This window comes from Homo sapiens, chromosome 6, assembly GCF_000001405.40.
Source record: "Homo sapiens chromosome 6, GRCh38.p14 Primary Assembly".
NCBI lineage: Eukaryota > Metazoa > Chordata > Mammalia > Primates > Hominidae > Homo > Homo sapiens.
This window is the reverse complement of record NC_000006.12, coordinates 52,572,074-52,592,982: the sequence shown is the minus strand read 5'-3', so window position 1 is coordinate 52,592,982 and position 20,909 is coordinate 52,572,074. Positions and strand designations below refer to the sequence as shown.

Sequence of the window (20,909 nt, the reverse complement as noted above, 5' to 3'; positions counted from 1 at the left end):
ACTCTTACTGCTGTTCTCAGTGTGTCTGCTTTTATTCTTGATGTTAGGGCCTTATGGTCATTAGATAGCTGCCAAGCTCACATCACCTCAATCAAAGCAGACCTCCTTAATGTCTCTCTTTTTAATCAGAGAGCAAAATCCTCCCTGCAAGCCTCAGCAGATTTCTCTCTACATTTCATTGGCAAGGATGGTTTACATACTGTAATAGGCAGAATAATGCTGTCAAAGATGTTCAAATTCTAGTCCCCTGGAACCTGTGACTATGTTACCTTACATGGCAAAAGGGACTTTGCAGATATGATTAAGGGCATGAATCTTGAGATGGGGAGGCTATGCTGGATTACCAGTGCGCCCCATCTAATCACATTAGCCCAGGGGAGTAAGGGAGATGGCAGCGTGGGAAGTATTTGGGGATGAGATGTAGGAGGTGATGTATAAGAACAGGAGAGAGATCCCTTAAATATGTATAAATATAATGTAGCAATAAAAACAAACAAGTGCCACCTGTAACTACTGCTAATAGGAATGTGCACTCAGGGCAACTTGAATGTATGCCCTCAGGTGGCTATCCTCAAGCTTTAGCCTAAAAAAAACTCTATACTTAATCATTAAAAAAAAAACAAAAAAACCACAAAAAACAAAAAAAAAAGAGAGGCTGCTAGAAGCTAATAGAGACCCCCAGATAACAGATAGCAAGGAAACAGGGACCCCAGTCCTGCAGCTGCAAGGAACTAAAATCAGCCAACACCTGATACAGCAAGGAAACAGATTCTACCCTCAAGCCTCCAGAAAGGAACACAGCCCTGTGGACACCTTGATTTTAGCCCAGTGAGACATGAACCAGACTTCTGGCCTATATCACTGTAAGAAAATAAATGTGTGTGGTTTTGAGCTAAAGTTGTAGTAATTTGTTACAACAGCAACAGAAAACTAGTACACATACCCTCCCCTAAAGTAGCCTGGGGTAACCATGCTTGGCTCACCCTGATTAGGGAATGTCTCCTGGGAATGGGCAACAGGCCATGTTCCCTGAGTGTGCTGTCAAGTATCCATAAAATAAGGAATGAGATGAGTGGAGAACAAACAGGTAAGGAGCACGGTAGTAGGCCTGGGGTTCAGCAGGTAAGCTCCAGGATACACAAGCCAGTTGTTTTCAGTCATCTTCTCTTCTAATTGGTATGGTAATTCTTTTTTTTTTTTTTTCTTTTGAGACGGAGCCTTGCTCTATCACCCAGGCTGGAGTACAGTGGCACAATTTCAGCTCACAGCAACCTCTGCCTCCCAGGTTCAAGCGAGTCTCCTGCTTCAGCCTCCTGAGTAGCTGGGAATACAGGCACCTGCCACAATGCCTGGCTAATTTTTGTATTTTCAGTAGAGACAGGGTTTCACAACAATGGCCAGGCTCGTCTCAAACTCATGACCTCAATGTTCTGCCCGCCTCAGCCTCTCAAAGTGTTGGGATTACAGGTATGAGCCAATGCACCTGGCCTGGTATGGTCATTAAACACTTTGAATATCACCCTTGGTTATATCTAGGGAGCTATATAGGTTCCCAGATATCACCCCATTACACTAGGACCCAGTCCTAACTGGGAAAACAAACTCAGAGTATGGGCACACAGGTTCCCGGCTTCTGGCAGAGCTGCTAGAGCTCAAATCTGGAGAATGCTACTTCCAGTATTTCAGCAAATCCAAGAGGCCTTCAGTCACGATGCACCATTATTTTACAAACCACTAAGAAAGAAAAAGTGCCACAAAACAATGACATGTCATTGATTGTAACATCAATGTTAAATGAGTAAGAGGTTAATATGAGAAAAAGTGTGCATCTTAGAATCAACCAAATATGATGATACAAAATTTTCACAAATGGTAAGGGTTAACCCTTGATGTGCTGCTGGCTCAGTCAAAATTGGTCGGGGAATTGGGGGAATGTATACTCATGGGTGTCTAGCTAGGGAAGGCAGAGGCCAAGGTGGGAAGGCGAGAGTGTTGCTCCTGGAGTTCCTTGAAGCCAAGCTAAGGGATGTGAACTTCCTCTAGCAGGCAGTCACTGAAGGTTTCCTGGCATGACAGTATGATGCTGGTGTCTCTGATCATATGTTCCCCTGGCATCTGAAACATCTGAAACAGTATTTATGACTCCATCTCATATCAAAGCATAAACAGTCACTCCCCTCTTGCCCAAGACAGTTGGAATGGAGCAGTTGTTGAGGTCATCTTTGACTAGCACTGGTCAGTGCATTTACCCCGGTTACAAGTGAGGACACACTCAAAAGACAGCTTTATTTTAGTAAGGAGCTCAGGTTTACTCATCCTGATGTGCAGGGCACATGCGTCCTCTGCGTCCTCAAGTGATGGACAAGCCCTCTTTGCGCCCTCCCCAAGACTTTGCCCTGGGGTCCCCAGAGGCAGCAGGGATTACACCAAAGGCTTACTCTGGACAGAGGAAAAGGTTGCACAGAGCCTTTAGGTGTCACCAAAGATCAATGTTGCCTCCTATTTCTTCTCTTTGCCTAGGACTGACCCTGAGTCCAGAAAATTTGAAGAGCTTTCTGAATACTTTTATCATTAGGAAAAAAAATGACAGCATCACCATATGGAAAAGGCCCTAAGAAATCACCTCAAATCCCACAGTTTTTCTGATTAGAAAACAGAAACTTGGGAAATGAATGTGTCTGACCTGAGGTAACCTACCTAGAAACAGCAGAGCTGGGCAGGGATCCAGGTTTCCTGCCATCCCCAGGGCATGCCAGGAAAGGCAGCCGGATGAGTGCACAAAGCCCCTCCCCAGGCATGCTAGGGGTCTGTCTTTTGCAAACTCAGGGCCTTGAAAAAGTCACTTAACATCTTTCTTTTTCCTTTTATTTATTTATTTATTTTTGAGACAGAGTCTCATTCTTGTTGCCTAGGCTGGAGTGCAGTGGCACAATCTCAGCTCACTGCAACCTCTGCCTCCCAGGTTAAGGCGAGAGTGTTGGTCAAGTGATTCTCCTGCCTCAGCCTCCCGAGTAGCTGAGATTACAGGCACCCACAACCATGCCTGGCTGATTTTTGTATTTTTGGTAGAGACGGGGTTTCACCATGTTGGCCAGGCTGGTCTTGAACTACTGACCTCAGGTGATCCACCCACCTTGGCCTCCCAAAGTGCTAGAATTACAGGCGTGAGCCACCTTGCCGGGCCTTTTGTTTTGTTTTGTTTTTTGAGACAGAGTCTTGCTCTGTTGCCCAGGCTGGAGTGCAGTGGTGCAATCTTGGCTCACTGCAACGTCTGCCTCCCAGGTTCAAGCGATTCTTGTGCCTCAACCTTTGGAGTAGCTGGGTTTACACCACACCCGGCTAATTTTTGTGTTTTTAATAATGACGGGATTTCACCATGTTGGCCAGGCTGGTCTTGAACTCCTGACTTCAAGTGATCTGCCCATCTCCCAAAGAGCTGGGATTACAGGCATGAGCCACAGCACCCGGCCTTCCATTCTCTCGACTACAAAATGAGGCTAGTAATAATACCTACTGCAGAGCCTTGTTGGAAAGATTAAGGCTTAGCCCTTAGACCTGCCAGGGAGTAATTGTCCCTACAGAGTCATCATATTGCTGTTACTGTTTTATGCAATCCCAGGCTGCCTCCATCACCTCGCTCCTGCTATCAAGATGAAGGTCTGCACTTTGAGACTTAGGGGCAGAGGAATCTATGGAATTTGCTCCCTTTGCTAATCTGGCAAAGTCAACAAATCATGTCTGTTCAACCCGAGAGGAGCCTCTGGAGATGTTAGGTCACGGCATGGAGCAGTTTCAAGTGAGAGGCATAGAGTGCAGGATGGAGGGAGAGTCAACAGCACAGCAGGGGAAAGGAATAGGCTTTCTGAGGGCTTGGGGAGGCCAGTTGAGTGTGGAAAGGAAGGGAAAGGGGTGCATGAGCTATGAGGGGGCCTGGGTGAGGGCACTTGGCACGGGAGCAGAGTGTAGAAGGCCAGGAAGGGGGACTGTGATGTGGGCATTTATGGCTAGAAAAAAAGGGGACTCAGTGCCTATGAAAAGAATCATTTTCTGTGGAGCTCAGGAAGGGCCTCTCACAGGAGATTTCCTACATGGGGCTCCAGGCCTTGGCTGTCTTCCCAGGGAAAGGTGGTGTTTGCCATGGGGAACTTGCACACTGCATGGCTTAATTCACACAGAAATGTTGCCCACTCCTGTCTCTGGCACTGCTAGTCTCCCTGAGCCTTGTTCAGCTGGGAACAAACATGCTCTTTCCTTGAACCACACTCTTCAAATGTCTCAATGCAAGACACTGAGGTCAGGGCAGAAGTGGAATAGCGGGGCATGGTAGGTACGAATAATGTTGGAGTAAGGGGAAGTGAGAGCCATGAGGGAACTATTTCAAAGAAATGGGCCCTCGGCACTGGGCTTTGGTGTGGCCCTGGGATTGCTGGCCAGCCCCAGTCCACTGGTCATGCAGACATGGCTATTCAGCAAAGCTGGACATAGTCCAAGGCAAGGCCCCCTTGGAGAGAAGAATTTCAAAATTAAAAACAAAACCAAAAGAAAGCACAATCAACTCCCGCTCCTCTTTTTCCCACCCCTAGTCAAATAGTACAGTCTACACTGTTGAAAAATCACATCTCAGGAACAGCACACACTTTCTGACAGCATCTGCCAAGATTTCCGATGAGGCTGATAGAAACGTGTTCCATTGTCATGTTGGATAATGAGTAGACGGGAGTCCTTGCACATCTGTTCAGGCAAGATAATGGTAATATTATTACTAGAGGCATTGTGCTGCAAATACAATCTATTTTTTGTCTCTCCTACCCCCTGCTCATATCCCTCTCTTTCCTCTCTTCTCTTCTTACTGTTGTGTGTCTCCCTTCTCATGTTTTCTTTCTCGCTCTCACCTTTCCTCTTCTCTTTTTACTTCTGTCCTCACCTAGGTGTCCTGCTCAGCTTGCAGAAACCCATGGGACAAAGTGAGGAATTCCCTTCAAATCAGGAGCACGGCTGCCAAGAAGGCACTATGGGCAGGGGTTGGCTGCTGAGATCATGAGAGAGGGGAGTCTTTGGGTCCTTCCTTGCAGGCTTGGTGATTCCTACTGTAAAGGACCCTCTCCTATTTGTCAGCAAAAGTCCTTCAGCCCAGTCAGAGAAACCACCAGACCTGCCCCATGCCCAACATCATCAGCAAAGAATCAAGGAGACAGTAATGTGACCAGCTAATTCCTGACAAAGGGACAACAGATGCAAAGGGTTTAATATTTTTAACATCTAAGAATGTTTTGCATCATAACAGGACACTTCTGGATGCCTAACCGATTTATAAAGAAATGCAATTTTAAAACTGTATAAGCATGAAGAATCAGAATGTGGGGTTGAACTTCAGAGTCAAGGAGAGCCATCCTTGTGTTTCCCAAATAATTCATTCATACATGTTTGTCAACAAATATTTACTCAGTACCTACTATGTGGCAGGCAATGATGGTTACTCTCTCATAGATGGAAAGCTATGATCCCTGCCTTTCAGGGTCTTAAAGTCTACCCCAAGGCAAACTTCTACCAAATCTAAACATAACTTTCGTCCTGAACATATCTTTTACGTGGAAGCAGAATCCACTTGGGGCATCTTCACTGTGTAATTACCTCAGGTATCAACATAAAAATGGAATGATACAGATTTCCACACTTTGGTCCATTAATCCATCCACCCAGCCACCTTTCTACACAAGCAACCATCCATTCACCCATTCATCCATCTACCTACCACCCATCGATCCACTCATCCATGCATGCATCCATCCACCCACACATCCATCACTCATCCATTTACCTATCCATCCATCTATCTTCTGCTCACTCATCCATCATCCTTCCAAGCACGTAGTAAGAGTTCATTTATTGGTCCAGCAGGGAGCAGGGCATACATAACCAATTACTGTGGTAGAGAGTTGTGTAAAGACAGAACACTGGTAGTTGCATGCATTGTCTGTGCCTGATAATTAACAAGCAAATGGTTCCTGAACACTGGGCTGTGATCTGAGAAGCAGAGATGGGATAAATTGCAAGGGCTGGTAACAAGGTTCATAGAGAGATACCTAAATTTAAACAAGATAGTTTCTGAGTTTCTCTGCAGCCTAGGAGACAACTGCTCAGAGAAGGCAGGCATGGCAGTTGAGTAACAGGGGTTCATGAGTTGTGTTTTGGCTCATGAAAATCTTCTTTCCACAGAGTTCTTTCTATTGAACTTTTCCTCAGTGTGATGGCATACTACAACATAACAGTGTCCCTCTGATAATTATTGCTTTCTCTGTGTATGTATAACAACTAAGGGCCAGCACAGTGGCTCACACCTGTTAATTCCAGCACTTTGGGAGGCTGAGGTGGGAGGATCGCTTGAGCCCAGGAGTTTGAGACCAGCCTGAGCAACATAGTGAAACCTTGTCTCTACAAAAAAATTTTTAAAATTAGCTGGGCACGGTGGCATGCGCCTGTGGCTCCAGCTACTGGGAAGGCTGAAGTGGGAGGATCACTTGAGCCTGGGAGACCAAGACTGCAGTGAGTCGCGATCGTGTCACAGCACTCCAGCCTGCACAACAGAGTGAGACCCCATCTCAAAAAAAAAAAAAAAAAGAAAAAAGAAAAACTAAGGAATAAACATATTTGTGAGCAGCTTAAGTTTCTAATATACTTTTCATCCAAACATGCCTCCCAAATTAGGCCGGGCATGGTGGCTCACACCTGTAATCCCAGCACTTTGGGAAACTGAAGGCGGCAGATCACCTGAGGTCAGGAGTTCGAGATCAGCCTGGCCAACATGGTGAAACCCCAGGTCTACTAAAAATACAAAAATTAGCCAGGCGTGGTGGCACACACCTGTGATCCCAGCTACTCAGGAAGCTGGGACAGGAGAATCACCTGAACCTGGGAGGTGGAGGTTTCAGTGAGCCGAGATTGTGCCACTGCACTCCAGCCTGGGTGACAGAGTGAGACAAACAACAACAACAACAACAACAAAGATGTCTCCCAAATTAGAGGAAAACAGTGCCTGAAATTGTTCCCTTGCTTCCCAAATGTCATATCCCAGTATTTTTCTGGTGATGGGAATTCTGGCTGAAGTTTACTCCTGTCTAGTGTCAAGTTGTGTCTTTTTTTTTAAGTCTGTTTTTAATAATGCTCCCCTCTTCCCATCTGAAAGTCAGGTGGCACATTCACTAGTTGCCTGGAATTTATCTGTCTCTAGCTGATTGAGAGCTGGAAAGGGGAAACTGGGCACAGTGGTCAGAGCCCTGGAGCTGTCAGGAGTGCCGGTTCCCGTGCCTACTCTGCCACTGAGTCACTAGCGGCCGTTGGACAAGGGACTTGGTTTTTCTGAGTTATCACCTGTCTGCTAAAGGAGAACAGGCGTAGGGTTCAGAGGCAGTGCTGGCAACAACAGACCAGGAGGGAGGGGGCCTGTTTTCAACCCCACTCACGAAATCCTTACTAATGGCAGCAAGTTCTGAGCCTTCCTTTCTTTGCTTCTAAAGTGAGAAAGTGGATCTATATAATGTTTAAGGTAGTTTTTTTTTTTTTTTGAGAGACAAGAGTCTTGCCCTGTCGCTCAGGCTGGAGCTCAGTGGAACCATCTCAGCTCCCTGCAAACCTCCATCTCCCGAGTTCAAGCAATTCTCCTGCCTCACCTTCCCAAGTAGCTGGGACTACAAGTGTGCACCACCACACTCAGCTACTTTTTGTATTTTTAGTAGAGACAGGGTTTCACTACATGTTGGCCAGGCTGGTCTCAAACCTCAGGTGATCCACCTGCCTCGGCCTCCCAAAATGCTGGGATTACAGGTATGAGCCACCGTGCCCAGCCCTAAGGTAGTTACTAATACCTCGAATCTCAATTCCACTCACTCTTATATTTAGCATATCTGATACCAGGAGGAGATCTTTTTTTCTTAATTTTTTTTGTAGGGTCTCCCTATGTGGCCCAGGTGGTTCTCAAACTCCTGGGCTCAAGTGACCCTCCTGCCTTGGCCTTCCAAAGTGCTGGGATTACAGGCACAAGCCAACATGCCCAGCCCTGGAGCAGATCATTTTTAACCCCCTGCTCCTCTCAATGAAAGTGAAAAGAATGACACACACACACACACACACACACACACACAAATCATTCTATGAAACAAATGATAGTACTGGCATTGTGTCCTCTATTTCACTAACTTAAGTTTTAAACACAAATAAAAGGCTCAAGTGGTCATGTAGAATGACAGAATTAAAGTAACCAGTCCTGTTTCTTTGTTTTTACAATCACCATGCTATCACTTTTCAAATTTTTAGTTTAAACACAAGAATCTGTAGTACCAGATTGGAGATGTGAACTGTGCCCCAAACAAACTCAGATGATTCCAATAGGGTATGAACAAATATGTTCACCTGAGGCTGCACACATCAGGGGCTGTTTGGGTAGATGAGTTTCTAGGATTAACTTGCATGTAGAATGCAATGTTTAATTTTTTTTTAGTTTTTTGAGACAGGGTCTCACTTTGTCACCCGGAATGGAGTGCAGAGGTGCAGTGATGGCTCACTGTAGCCTCAACCACCTGGGTCAAGCTATCCTCCTGACTCAGCGCCTCCAGTAGCTGGAACTACAGGTGCAAGCCACCATGCCCGGCTAATTTTTTTTTTTTTTTTTTTTTTTTTTTTAGTAGAGATGAGGTCTTGCTATGTTGCCCAGGCTGGTCTTGAAATCTTGAGCTCAAGCAATCCTCTGTCCTTGGCCTCCCAGTGTGCTGGGATTGCAGGCATGAGTCACTGCACCCAGCCTGCAAAGTTCATTAACAAATAATAAAAATATGCTAAGTTGAAATTTACATATATATTATTAAGATTCAACAGCATCTACAGCAATTGTTTAGAACTTAGACCAAAAGATTTGGAGGAGGGGAGGAAGTATTTTATTCCTAACGTTTAGCATGTGCAGTGCATGGTGATAATAAAAAAGCAGATCAATTTTCAGTCAATTTTAGCATTAAATCTTTTATTTTGAAACATTTTTAGGTTTACAGGAGAGTTGCAGAAATAGTAGAGAGATTTCCCACATATCTTTCATCCAGCTTACATAACCATGGTACATTTATCAAAACACAGAAATTAACATTGGTATAATACTATTAACCAAACTACAGACATTATTTGAATTTTACCAGTTTTTCCACTAATATCTTTTTTCTTTTCCAGGGCTAAGTCCAGGATAGTACATTGCATTTAGAGCTGTATCATTGCTTTAAAATTCTTCACAGATTCACAATCCCTCATTGCCTGCCCTGGGGGCTGACCACTCCCAGCTCCCCTACTCCACCTGCCTTGGTATACCCCTGATTCCACTAAACTTTTGTGGTATTGGGGGTAAGAAGATCTAATGGCTTCAAGTTAGCAATGGTGTGTTAAAATTTTTTTTTTTAATAAAAACAAAATAAAAGAAGATCTAATGGTTGTGAAGTCTCATCCTTTGGTGAAAGGTGCTGTTGAGCCTGATACAATATATTCAACTGCCAGAGCACAGACACTTCTACTTTGTCTAGCTGGAGATTCTTTAGCCAGGTACTCCTTGACAGTGACTGTTAGGTAAGCGACATTTGCAAGGTTTAAGTGCCTAGTGCACAGAAATCAGAAAGCAAGGCTTGTTTTAGGCAAACGTGCCACATATCTTGTAAGGTAAAGAGACAAAAATATAACCGGTGAAACGCACTGAAAAAAAATCCTGGCATAGACACTCCGGGTGCCTGCTCCACATACATTCTCCATTTTTCATCAGAATTCTTGTTTTGTTCAGGTGAAAGGTAGCCAGGCTCTTCAAAGGAGGCTGGACTTTTTCTCAGCCTCTCTGAGGATGCATTCTTGGTAAAGTTAATCTAATCACGTCAATTCCACTCACTTTGCCAATGATTGGTTTAGAAATGGGCATGGGATACAATCTGGCCAATAAGGCATGGGGAGAAGTTTGAGGTTTCTAGGAAAGTTTTCTTCACTCTCCAAAAGTCCCTTTCCTTCTTGTCTGAATATTGGGTCTTGTTGTTTGAGTTATTCTGTGTTAAAGGATAGAACACCTGGAGCTGTTGCAGCCACTTTGTAACCATGAGGGGTAAGCCTGCAACAAAAGCAAACAAGTTTCAAAGTGGGAGGATAGGAAGACCCTGGTCTTGGGTGCATTACTTATCCCTAGGAATAAACTAACTCTGGGCTTCTTGTTATGTGAAAAAATAAATTTTCCACTTTGGGGAAAGGACAGCTACTGGAAAGAATTCATCAACACAAAAGCATGCTGTGCTCCATGTAGATAAGGCTGGGGATAGTGGTCATTCTTACACAGCCTACAGCAACAGCGTCTCTCATTCAATCATGCATTCAACCAATATCTGATGAGAACATAAGATGCGGGACTCTTGTGCTTTATGCTGTTAGACTATGACAGTATTCCATGGCAGAATTCATGCCTTGAAGGATTGCACCATGTAATGAGGGGTAAAATTCATAGACAAACACACCGATTGCAGGAGGACCTGGTGCTAGCTGAGAGCTACACACAAATTGCTGTGTCGATGCCCCCAGACTAATGCCATGAAGCTTAGTGATAGAAGAGGTGCACACTCTTTATCTTGAAAGATGGTTAACATTGAGAGGTGAACAAAAACACACAGACATAGAGATTGGAAACCATAAGTTCTGTTTTGTAAAGAGGGAGTAATCTAATTTAGTTAAGAGTTGAGGCCAATTGCAGTGGCCCATGTCTGTAATCCCAGCGCTCTGGTAGGCCAAGGTGGGCAGATCCCTTGATGCCAGGAGTTCAAGACCAGCCTGGCCAACCTGGCAAAACCCTATCTCTACTAAAAGTATAAAAATTAGCCAGGCATGGTGGCACATGCCTGTAATCCCAGGTAATTTTGGGAGACTTGAACCCAGGAGGCAGAGGTTGCAGTGAGCCAAGATCATGCCACTGCATTCTAGCCTGGGTGACAGAGCAAGGCTCCGTCTCAAAAAAAAAAAAAAAAAAAAAAAAAAAAGTTGATACAGCCGAATTGTTGGCAGCCATGACTAGGCAGGCAGAGAGGGACACAGGTGGTGCCTGCCTGACAGTGCTGTGCTTTAGGAAGCCTGAGCAAGCTGAAGTATGGTCCAGCAAAGGGAACCCTGTGCTGAGAGCCTGACTGGCTGGTCTGAGCCCAGCTTCAGCTACCCACTCATTATGTGGCCCTTGGTCATTCATGTCTCAGAACAGCTACAAGAAAGGGCTGGTAATAACTGTCTTGCCTCCCTCACAGGGTGACTGGAAAGTGCAATATAAACGTAAGGGGTTGTTATTTCCTCCACATCCAGATGGAACTGTATTCACCCATTTTTAGGTCCCTGATCCATCTCAGGAGAGTTTTCCCTTTTGTTCCTATTGCTGGAGCCACCCTCTAGCCTCCTCCTCAGTTTCATCACTGATCTCCCGTAGCTCAAGTATTTTCAGTATTTCCCTCTCTCCTGGGTTTTTCCTCTCTGTCTCCAAATATGCTCCAATCTCAAAAATTAAATATAATTTAAAGGTCCTTCCTTAGATCTTCCATAGCCCTCAAAACACCATCCATTTCTCTTTTTCTCACAAAACATTTTTTTACAAACAGACGTTTTTACCCACCTCCTTTTCTCAACTTCTACCTACTGTTAAGCCCACTCTAATGTTCAATTAAGTGGTCTCTAAAAGCCACGATGGCTGAATCTGGGAGTTTCATCTCATTCTTGTTCTGCCTGATTCAACCTGTCCTTAACGAAATTCTTATGTCGTGGCTTCCTCTACGCCACGCTTTCCTTTTCCTCATCTTCCCCCATTCCGAGTGTCGGGGTTCACTAGGATTCTGCTGACCTCAGACTTTTTCTCATTCTCTCAGAACACTTATATAACCTGATGACCTCAACAGTCCTACTGAAGATGAACTGAAAATACTTTAGTTGTGATTTTCCCTCCCCAAGTCCAATCCAACAGTTTCCAACTGAGCTGTCAAAGTGTTCCATGGCTCCTCAACCTCAGCTTGTTCAAAGCAGAGGCCATCTTCTTCTCCTCCCTTAAACATGCTCTTTATCTGTTATTCCAAATAAATTTTTTAATGGTCCCACCATCATTTATGTTATCCCAGATGCAAGTTCTGACTCATTCAACTCCCTTTTATTCTTACTGCTACTGTTCTTTGAGGAGTGCTAGCCAGACGCAGTGGATCATGCCTATAATCCTAGTACTTTGGGAGGTAGAGGCAGGAGGATCACTTGAGCCTAGGAGTTCGAGACCAGTCTGGGCAACAGAGGGAGACCCTGTCTCTACAAAAAATAGAAATAAATTAGCCAGGCATGGTGGTGTGTGCTTGTAGTCGCAGCTACTCGGAAGCTGAGGCAAGAAGATCACTTAAGCCCAGGAGGTTGGGGCTGCAGTGAGCTGTGATTGCACCATTGCATTCCAGCCTGGGTGACAGAGACCCTGTCTCAAAAAGAAGAGAGAAGTGTCCATTTCTTTACTGGACTGTTATAATAGTTTCCAAAGTGGTCTTCCTGTTTAAATCAGGATGGTCTTCCATACTCCTGATAGTTCTCCTCTAAAGACAGATCTGGTCATGCTTAAAAGCTTTCCATTTCTTGCCAGGCACAGTGGCTCACGCCTGTAATCCCAGAACTTTGGGAGGCTGAGGTGGGTGGATCACCTGAAGTTGGGAGTTCAAGACAAGCCTGACCAACATGGAGAAACCCTGTCTCTACTAAAAATACAAAATTAGTTGGGCATGGTGGCACATGCCTGTAATCCCAGCTACTTGGGAGACTGAGGCAGGAGAATCTCTTGAACCCGGGAGGTGGAGGTTGCAGTGAGCTGAGATGGTGCCATTGCACTCCAGCCTGGGCAACAAGAGGGAAACTCCATCTCAAAAACAAATAAACAAAAAACACCAACTTTCCATTCCTTCCCATTGTTTGCAGAATAAAGTCACAATTCTTTATCACAGCATACAAAACCTGCCACAATCCAGTTCTATCTTAACTCTCCAAATTCATCTATCACTCCTTTTCTGCATTCTCTGTCAGTACCATTTGTCAGGTAAAGGCCCAGCCCAAATGACCTCCTCCCTTACACCCCAGAGAGAATTAGGTTACCTTTTCCTTGTACTCAGAGTGTGCATATTTCAGGTTGTTCTTAGAGTCACCATCATCACACTGAATTGTAATGATGTCTCAGTCAATTCTAAAAGATTGTAAGCTTTAGCAGTGTGTATTAGCTATCTCTTGCTGTATAACAAATTACAATAAAATTTAGTGGTTTAAAACAGCAAATATTTATTCTCTCCCAGGTGCAGTGGGTCAGGAATTCAGGAGTGGCTTACCTGGCTAGTTCTGGCTCAGGGTCTCTCATGAGGTTGTAGTCAAGAGATTAGCAGGGGCTGATGTCATCTGAAGGCTTAACTGGGGCTGGAAAATCTGCTTCCAAGGTGGCACACTCATGTCTGGCAAGTCAGTGATGGTTGTTCGCAGGAGGTCTCAGCCATATGGAGGATATGCCTCCACAGGACTATGAGTATCCTCACAAAGTGGCAGCTGGTTTCCTCCAGAGGGAGTGACCTGAGAGAAAGAAAGCAGAAACCCTCAAATGCCTCTTCTGGCCTAGTCTTGGAAGTCACATACCATCACTTATGCTACCTTCTATTTATTAGGAGTGAGCCACTAAGTCCAGCCCACACTCAAGGTGGGGGAACGAATTGCCTCTTTTTGAAGGAAGGAATGTTGAAAAACTGGAGGACATATACCCATATGCCACGTAATGATATTCAGGTCAAACAACATATAAAACAGTTGTTTCATAAGATCTTAATGGAGCTGAAAATTTCCTATCACATAGTGATGTCGTAGCCACTGTAACATTGTAGCGCAATGCATTAACCACGTGTTTCTGGTGATGCTGGTGTAAACAAACCTACTGTGCTGCCCCATAATATAGTTTAGTATAAATGTGTAGCAAAAGGCTGGGTGCAGTGGCCTGTAATCTCAGCACTTTGGGAGGCCAAGACGGGTGGATCACTGAAGATCAGGAGTTCAACACTAGCCTGGCCAACATGGTGAAACCCTGTCTCTACTAAAAATACAAAAATTAGCAGGGGGTGGAGGGCACCTGTAATCTCAGCTACTCAGGAGGCTGAGGCAGGAGAATTGCTTGAACCTGGAAGGAGGAGGTTCCAGTGAGCCGAGATGGCGTCACTGCACTCCAGCTTGGGCAACAGAGAATCCGTCTCAAAAAATGGCGGATCACTTGCGGTCAGGAGTTCGAGACCAGCCTGGTCAACATGGTGAAACCCCCACCTCTACTAAAAAATACGAAAATTAGCCAGGTGTGGTGGCACATACCTGTAGTTCCAGCTACAGGCTGAAGCATGAGAATTGCTTGAAGCCAGGAGGCAGAGGTTGCAGTGAGTCCAGATCTCGCCACTGCACTCCTGCCTGGGCAACAGAGTTAAGACTCTGTCTCAAAATAATAATAATAGCAGTGGGGGTAACTTAAATTCAACCATCTAAACCTATAAAGAAACCAATTGTATAAAGTTCAACCTCATAGGTGTGGCCGCACGTTGCAAATTTGAACACATCTTCACAGGTGGAAAGTCGAGGTGCTTCAGAGTTCTTGATCTTTCTGTTCCTCACAAGACGAAGGTTCAACTTTGAGAAAGGTCAGCCTTGAAGTTAAATGAGGTTTAGTCCAATCTAGGCATTACTTTGTCATTTCCTTGAGAGTCAGATAAGGGAATTACAGACCCAAGACTGTATTTTAAGTAAGGTGGAGTGCAGATTGAGGAAGTAAAATTTCTCTAGGAACTCCATCCTGTCTCAATTACATTCCACCGCGTGCCACTTTTAAAAAACCATATTTATTTAGAAGTGAAATAACTGTGGACCTAATAAAAAATGGAATAGGAATTAGTTTTTTTTGTTCATTACGTATTTCTGCACATCTAGAAAGTAACTGACTGCTTCATTACTGGTAGGATTAAATCCAATATTTGCGAATATAATTTATTAAGAACACCTTTTGTCCTTCCAGGAGTACTTTTAAGACTTAATATTAAATAGAAACTTTCAGTGAGAAAGTTCCTTCCTTTTTTGCTTCTTCTGTGTTTATTCTTCCACTTCTTCTGATTAATATGTAAGGTAGACTTTCGGTGAAATGTGTGTAGCTAATTAATGGTGGCATGAGGGTCCCAAAAATTACTGGGCAAAACTGCAATCATCCACCCTCTCCCCGCATTGGAGCGAAAGCTCCCCTAGGGCAGGGTCTTTCGGTTTGTTGATCTACCTGAACTGTGCCTAGCCCACTGCAAGTTCTCGATAAATACTTGAGTAATCTCCATTCACTGATCGTCCGTGCAGGGCGCTGTGGCCAGCCAGAAGGCCGGTTCGCGGCTTCCCTGCTTCCGCCGCACCCGCGCCGCCCTCAGCCCCCGGGGCCACAGCCCGCAACCCCGGGAGCATCCGGCTGCCCGGCCACCCCCGGGGCGCTCGCTGCCTCCGGGGCCTGCCCTTCCCGCGGAGGAAGGAGCGGAGCGAGGAGTGGGAAAGCTGGGCCCACTTCCTGTCCGGGCAGGCCTGGGCGCCCGCCTCCTCCGCGGCCTGCTTTCTCCACCGCGAGCGGCTGAGCCTCGGGCCCCGAGAATGCGGCCGGGCGCGGCGCTGGCGCGGGACGAGGAGGAGCCGAGCCCCGCTCGCCGCCCCCGTACGCCTCCGCCCCGGTAGCCCGCGCGTGCCCAGCGGCTAGAGGGTTAAGCCCGCGGGGGGCGGGGCCAGGCGCGCCGAGTGCGGGCCGCGGGCTGGGCGGGGGCTGGGCGGGGGCTGCGGCCGGGGGCGGTTACGGGCGGCCGGGGGCGGGCGGAGGAAGGGGGCGGGCCCCGAAGTTGTTCCGCGCTGGGCGGGCGAGCGGCTGTGGGAGAGCGGGCGGCGGGCCGGCGGGCGGACCGGGCCGGTGCTGGAGAAGTTTGCGCTGCGGTTCGTGAGCGCAGGGTGCGGGCCCCGCCGGCCGCTGCGCGCCCGCTGCCATGGCTTTCCGCAGGAGGACGAAAAGTTACCCGCTCTTCAGCCAGGAGTTCGTCATCCACAACCATGCGGACATCGGCTTCTGCCTGGTGCTCTGCGTCCTCATCGGGCTTATGTTCGAGGTGAGAGCCTGGGGAGGAGGGAGCTGGAGGGACAGTGCCCCCTGTCGTGCACCGCCCGGCACACCCCTGCAGGTCAGCGGGCCCTCCTCTGATCGGAGGCTCCTGGCTGCCGTGTACGTTATCTGCACCCCGGCTTTGTGCACTGTACCCCTCCGGCCTGTACCCCGGCCAGCCCAGACAGCACCCCCAGCTCCGCGCCGTGCCAGCCATGCCATGCTCTGCCGCCCCCTTGGGCACTCATCGTATCCTGCAGCTCTGTCTGCAGCCCTGAAACCCCAGCCTGGCCTCGAACCAACCGCCGCGCTGCCACCATGGCTTGACGCGTGGGGTTCCCTTTCTGGCGTCCAGGAGCCAAGCCCAGAGACTCCCAGACCCGCAGTCATTGCACAACCCCCTCTTGCCCCAAGGGGTGGCCACTAGCTCTTCTGGGCTTTTCCAGTGGGAGAGACCCAGAACCTTTTCCACTTCCTATGTGATTTTCTGGGTGTTTTGCATCTCAGCTCTGGAACGTGCTCGGATGTTCACGTGTGGCCCTGGCCCCATCCCAGCAGTGGCCTTCTGCTCTCGTCTCGCTCCCACTTTTTTGCTGTGCTCTAGAAGGCCAATTTTTGGATATCCTTTACCACTCCGTGAACTGTCCCTTTAGATCCATCTGCGGCGACCCAGAGCTTCACCCCCTTTACAGAGACAAGAAGAGAGACAGGGATACCCTCCACTTTTTGGGGAAAGTTGATTCTCTTATAGTGTAGGAGTGGGGGGCAGAGGATGGGGATCCCACCCCCAACAGCAATGTCCTGGTGTCGGCCTCCCAGGCAGGGAGTTGTAGAAAGCCAGCAAGGGGTCAGAATTCACAAGACTGATGGGAAGGATTCCCTACTCTTGCAGAGCAAGAAAAATGTGATATTCAAAAGTGGGAAGAACTGGAGGAAGCTTGGCATGGGTTTGTTGCGGTATATCTTGTCTCAGAAGTGAGATATGTGAGCGACATTCCCCTCACTCTCACCGTGGTCTCCTCTGGTTCCTGAGACTCCTTGTCCTCCCTTCTGCGTCAGCTTGCTTATTGCATTCTCACGGTTGGGTTAGGAAGCTGTGATCATTTACAAACTTCCTTGGAGATGGAGGATGGCTTGCCTGGCTAAATTTCCTTCCCTGTCCCTCTGTCTCGGGTTCCCTGTATCTCTACGAATGACAAGGGCCCTAATTGGCTGGCGAAGCTGCCCTCAAGCTGGGAACGTTCTTGTGGTGGCCAAGTCAGGGTTGGATGAATGAATGTGTCCGTGGCTGAGCTTTAGGGTCTGTAGGAAATAAACGGTGGTGCTAGGACTGGGGTCTCCACTCCACTTTTTGATAGTGCTCCTTTAGTTCAGTCCCTCTCTCCTTCCTCTCCCTCTCACAGCTCTCTCTAGTGGTATATTGGGTCGGGCTTGCTCCACCTTGTTCTGGGTTCTCCCCTGGAAGTGTGTGGTGTCACACAGAGTCATATCCGTGTGTCTCAGTCCCTGTTCTGTGACTAGTCTGACTGAAAACTGACTGCAGCCTCAGTTTCCCCATCATTAAAGACGTTCATAAAACTGGTCTTCGTCACAGGGTGGTTGTAAGGTTTAACTGAGATCATATCAGCAACAAAAGCCATAACATCTCCTACCAACATGAAAAAGTCTCTTGCGCCTGGAGCCCTGTGATTATTTATCATAATAATAGCTTAACAAAATAACAGAATTTCCTTTGCCCAGCGCATTCTCTGCTGTCTGTTTGCTGTCCTCCATTCTAAGAGGCCTCCAAGTGCGTGTCCCCAGCCTTGGAGGGTGTGGCTGGAAAGATACACGTGACAGCTGTAAACCTCAAAGCCACAGGCTGCAGCGACGAAGTTTCTCGCATAGCCTGTGGCTCTCTCCGTCATATTTCTAGCATTTGTTAGGGTTTGTGGCCCTCCCTGTTTTATCTTTGCTCAGAAAGGGCTGCCAGCATTTGAGTTTGGTACCTACCTCCTTCCCTGGGTCTCTAGTCTTATGGAAAGTCCTGTGCATTAAACCTGCCACTCTAAAAGTTGAAAGGTGTTAAGAGCTGTTACTTCCAGTATCTGGTGAAAGAGAAAGGCCCAAGACGAGAAAAACAACAAACAAAACTACTCTTCCTCCCCCTTAGGCTTGTATTGGGGAGTGTAGCAAGGCCCCTGGTTGAAATGCCTACAGGCCCCCTTTTCCTGCCAAGCCCATCACTTCTTCCCATAGCACCTTGAACCTACAGGACCTACAGGGCAGGTGTCTCCTTCTTTTGGAGGTACTTTGTGAGATCATCAGTCTGTGCTTCTCTGGGAGAAAGAGGGCTTTGCCCTAAGCCTCCAGTAAGAAGGTCTTGTGTTCTTCTGTGCTGGGCACATGGTGGGGGCCTCACTGTCTTTACCCACCGACTAACTAACTCTCCACAGAGATAAGTATTCCTGGGGGTGGGGAGGGGGAGTTTGGAACTGCTGCCTCTATCAAATGAGAGCAGAAGCGTCCTGGATACTGTAGGTACCACAGAGAAACAAATGTGGGCATCTTCACACTCAGAGTAAAGCCTGGGGAGACGCCTCATAACCAAGCACAGGACTGGCTGGATATCACTTAGGATCTTCTGGGTTTCTCTCTGGAAGTGTGTGGTGTGCATGTGTGGGTATGTAGGGATGCATATGGTGCGATGGTAGGTGCAACTGGGGACTCACCACCCTTTTCCTAGAAGTGACGGCAGGAAGAGGTGCAAGGGGAATGGGAGAAAGGGGTGAGAGGACATAGGCTTTTGGGGTTCTGACTTGGCCCTGGCTAGGATTCCTTCATTCGGAAGCTGAGCCAGGAAAACTCAATTATAATTCTTCCCACAAAGAGCGACTCTCTTGGCCATTCCTCCTTCTGGGGACCTCTGTCGTGCCTCTGCCAATGGGCTGGGTCCCTCTCCCCCATCAGCCCACGCGCCAGGCAGCCACAGCCCTTGTGTCTGCATTGCATCCCTGCGTTGCTCTTTCCCCCACTCACTGGTCACCTCTTCTGCATTCAGGGGGCTTCTGTTTCCCCGTTAGGGACCCCAGGGCTTTAGTTCTCTGTCCCCAGGGAGATGATGACTCTAAATTCTTTCCCTTGGGATAATTTCCTTTTGGGAACACATATGAAAGGCTGTCTCTCCCCTCACCACTCACCCCTATTGCTACCCCAATTTTGGTTTAGTGTTGAGCCATCCTGTTTCGAAGGCAGGGGGCAGCTTTTCCCCCCTGAACCCAGGTTTTCTCCCAGTCCTACAGGCTGCTTGGAATAGAGAAGCTGCTCTGTGCAGCCACAGCACTTGGCTAAAAAATGTCAGGAATGTGGAACTTTATTTTCCCCCTCCTTCCTTTCCACCGTTAAGTCTGCTTTTGGGAGAGGTGGCACAGGGGGAGTTTTCTACTCAACTCTTTGGTCCTTCAGTCCTGTCTTAGGTGGAGTCTGGCCTGACCATCAACCAGGGTGTGGACAGCTGGTTGGGGGGTATGTGTATCAGATTTGAAAGTAGCCTCCTCCCCCTCCACCTTCCCTTCTCCTTCCAGTGTCCTGTTCTGTGCCACGTTTCAAATTGAAACAGGCAGGGGAAGAGGAAAAGTCTTTGATTAGCGAATGGAGAATGAGGAAAAAGGGGGTGCACCGAAGAGAGAGGAAGCAATTTATATACTACCTTTAAAATGTCAGTTCAGGACTGAAACTTTTTTTTTAAGCTCATTTACAGGCTCTAAAGCTGCAAAGAAATGTTTCCACAATTCTGAGCCTATCATTTGTAGGTTTGGTTTCTTTTTGGTCTGTGATGACTTAAAGGTTGAGGGACCCAGAGGAGTTCTTGGTGATGGCTGGTTTTTGCTTTTTGATTGTTTTAGAGGCAGATTTGGCAGATTTACCTTTTCTTCAGGAACCACCTTCTTCCCTGCTCCTGACACTGATTGACTTGTCAGGGTGAAATGTTTGTAGCATATACAATGGGAGCCCATTGTGTCACCACCTGCTAGTACATGGCTTCCATGGCACTGGTTCATATCCTCCCAGACATACCTGTAGGCATCATAACCTGAAATGTGGCTGCGGGTCCTGTCTGTGAATGTTAGCAGCATCATAAAACAATCCTGCTTCTATTGTGTTCATAGAAAGACGTGTGCAAATGGCACACATAATACATCTGTGGACACGGATCAACTTGAGAAGGAGTCTCGCTCTGTCACACAGGCTGGAGTGCAGTGGTGCAATCTCAGCTCACTGCAGCCTCCGCCTCCCAGGTTCCAGCGATTCTCTTGCCTTAGCCTTCCAGGTAGCTGAGATTACAGGCACATGCCACACACCCTGCTAATTTTTGTATTTTTAGTAGAGACGGGGTTTCACCATGTTGGCTAGGCTGGTCTTGAACTCCTGACTTCAGGTGATCCGCCCACCTTGGCCTCCCAAAGTGCTAGGATTATAGGCCTGAGCCACTGCGCCTGGCCTCTTTGACTAACTTCTAATGCACTTTCGAAGAAGTTCCTTTGCCAGCTTTTCTAGTTCCTAACTTTATGCATCTCCCTTTTAGCCTTTTACTTACTCTATCCATGGTGTTCTAGAGAAGTTAGACAGAGGAAACCAAGGAGGGTCACGTACTCTCTTGAGCGCTCTTGTTCTGTGGTTGGATTTCTGTACAGATGTCTCCATGATATGAGCAACAGAGCAGAAATTTGGAGCTAGATTTTCTACTGGT

The 20,909-nt window shown here is 47.2% G+C and overlaps 1 protein-coding gene and 1 long non-coding RNA gene across 3 annotated transcripts in view, besides 6 other annotated features; one reads left to right on the top strand and one right to left on the bottom strand.

Moving 5' to 3' along the window:
• Positions 3,653-3,797: an enhancer, noted in NCBI's record as "145 bp enhancer 62 fragment used in the MPRA reporter construct; PK_construct_1043". NCBI's record gives its function as "activates an SV40 promoter by MPRA in HepG2 cells {active_cell/tissue: HepG2}" and the evidence as "EXISTENCE:reporter gene assay evidence [ECO:0000049][PMID:23512712]".
• Positions 3,719-3,730: a transcriptional cis regulatory region, noted in NCBI's record as "FOXA motif; enhancer activity is reduced when this motif is scrambled". NCBI's record gives its function as "necessary for full MPRA enhancer 62 activity {active_cell/tissue: HepG2}" and the evidence as "EXISTENCE:site-directed mutagenesis evidence [ECO:0005528][PMID:23512712]".
• On the bottom strand, positions 8,990-15,781 carry TRAM2-AS1 (TRAM2 antisense RNA 1). Of its 2 annotated transcripts, NR_103447.1 has the most exons (4): positions 15,332-15,685; positions 14,590-14,933; positions 13,374-13,608; positions 8,990-10,120 (listed from the first exon to the last, which is right to left on the bottom strand). It is a non-coding gene; the product is annotated as a TRAM2 antisense RNA 1 (long non-coding RNA). The 2 variants fall into 2 exon arrangements; NR_103446.1 differs by having other exon boundaries at positions 14,590-15,781.
• Positions 15,351-16,210: a silencer, noted in NCBI's record as "silent region_17285". NCBI's record gives its function as "represses an Ori minimal core promoter by ATAC-STARR-seq in GM12878 lymphoblastoid cells {active_cell/tissue: GM12878}" and the evidence as "EXISTENCE:reporter gene assay evidence [ECO:0000049][PMID:35858748]".
• TRAM2 (translocation associated membrane protein 2) overlaps positions 15,923-20,909 on the top strand; it is a 79,653-nt gene continuing 74,666 nt past the window's right edge. The window contains exon 1 of the mRNA NM_012288.4: positions 15,923-16,187. Coding sequence (NP_036420.1) covers positions 16,068-16,187 — 120 coding nt within the window. The 5' untranslated portion in view covers positions 15,923-16,067. The remainder of the gene's footprint in view (positions 16,188-20,909) is intronic.
• Positions 18,068-18,117: a silencer, noted in NCBI's record as "silent region_17284". NCBI's record gives its function as "represses an Ori minimal core promoter by ATAC-STARR-seq in GM12878 lymphoblastoid cells {active_cell/tissue: GM12878}" and the evidence as "EXISTENCE:reporter gene assay evidence [ECO:0000049][PMID:35858748]".
• Positions 18,468-18,517: an enhancer, noted in NCBI's record as "active region_24686". NCBI's record gives its function as "activates an Ori minimal core promoter by ATAC-STARR-seq in GM12878 lymphoblastoid cells {active_cell/tissue: GM12878}" and the evidence as "EXISTENCE:reporter gene assay evidence [ECO:0000049][PMID:35858748]".
• Positions 19,119-19,647: an enhancer, noted in NCBI's record as "H3K27ac-H3K4me1 hESC enhancer chr6:52438134-52438662 (GRCh37/hg19 assembly coordinates)". NCBI's record gives its function as "activates a minimal SCP1, AML or CMV promoter by ChIP-STARR-seq in naive H9 embryonic stem cells {active_cell/tissue: H9 hESC(naive)}" and the evidence as "EXISTENCE:reporter gene assay evidence [ECO:0000049][PMID:30033119]".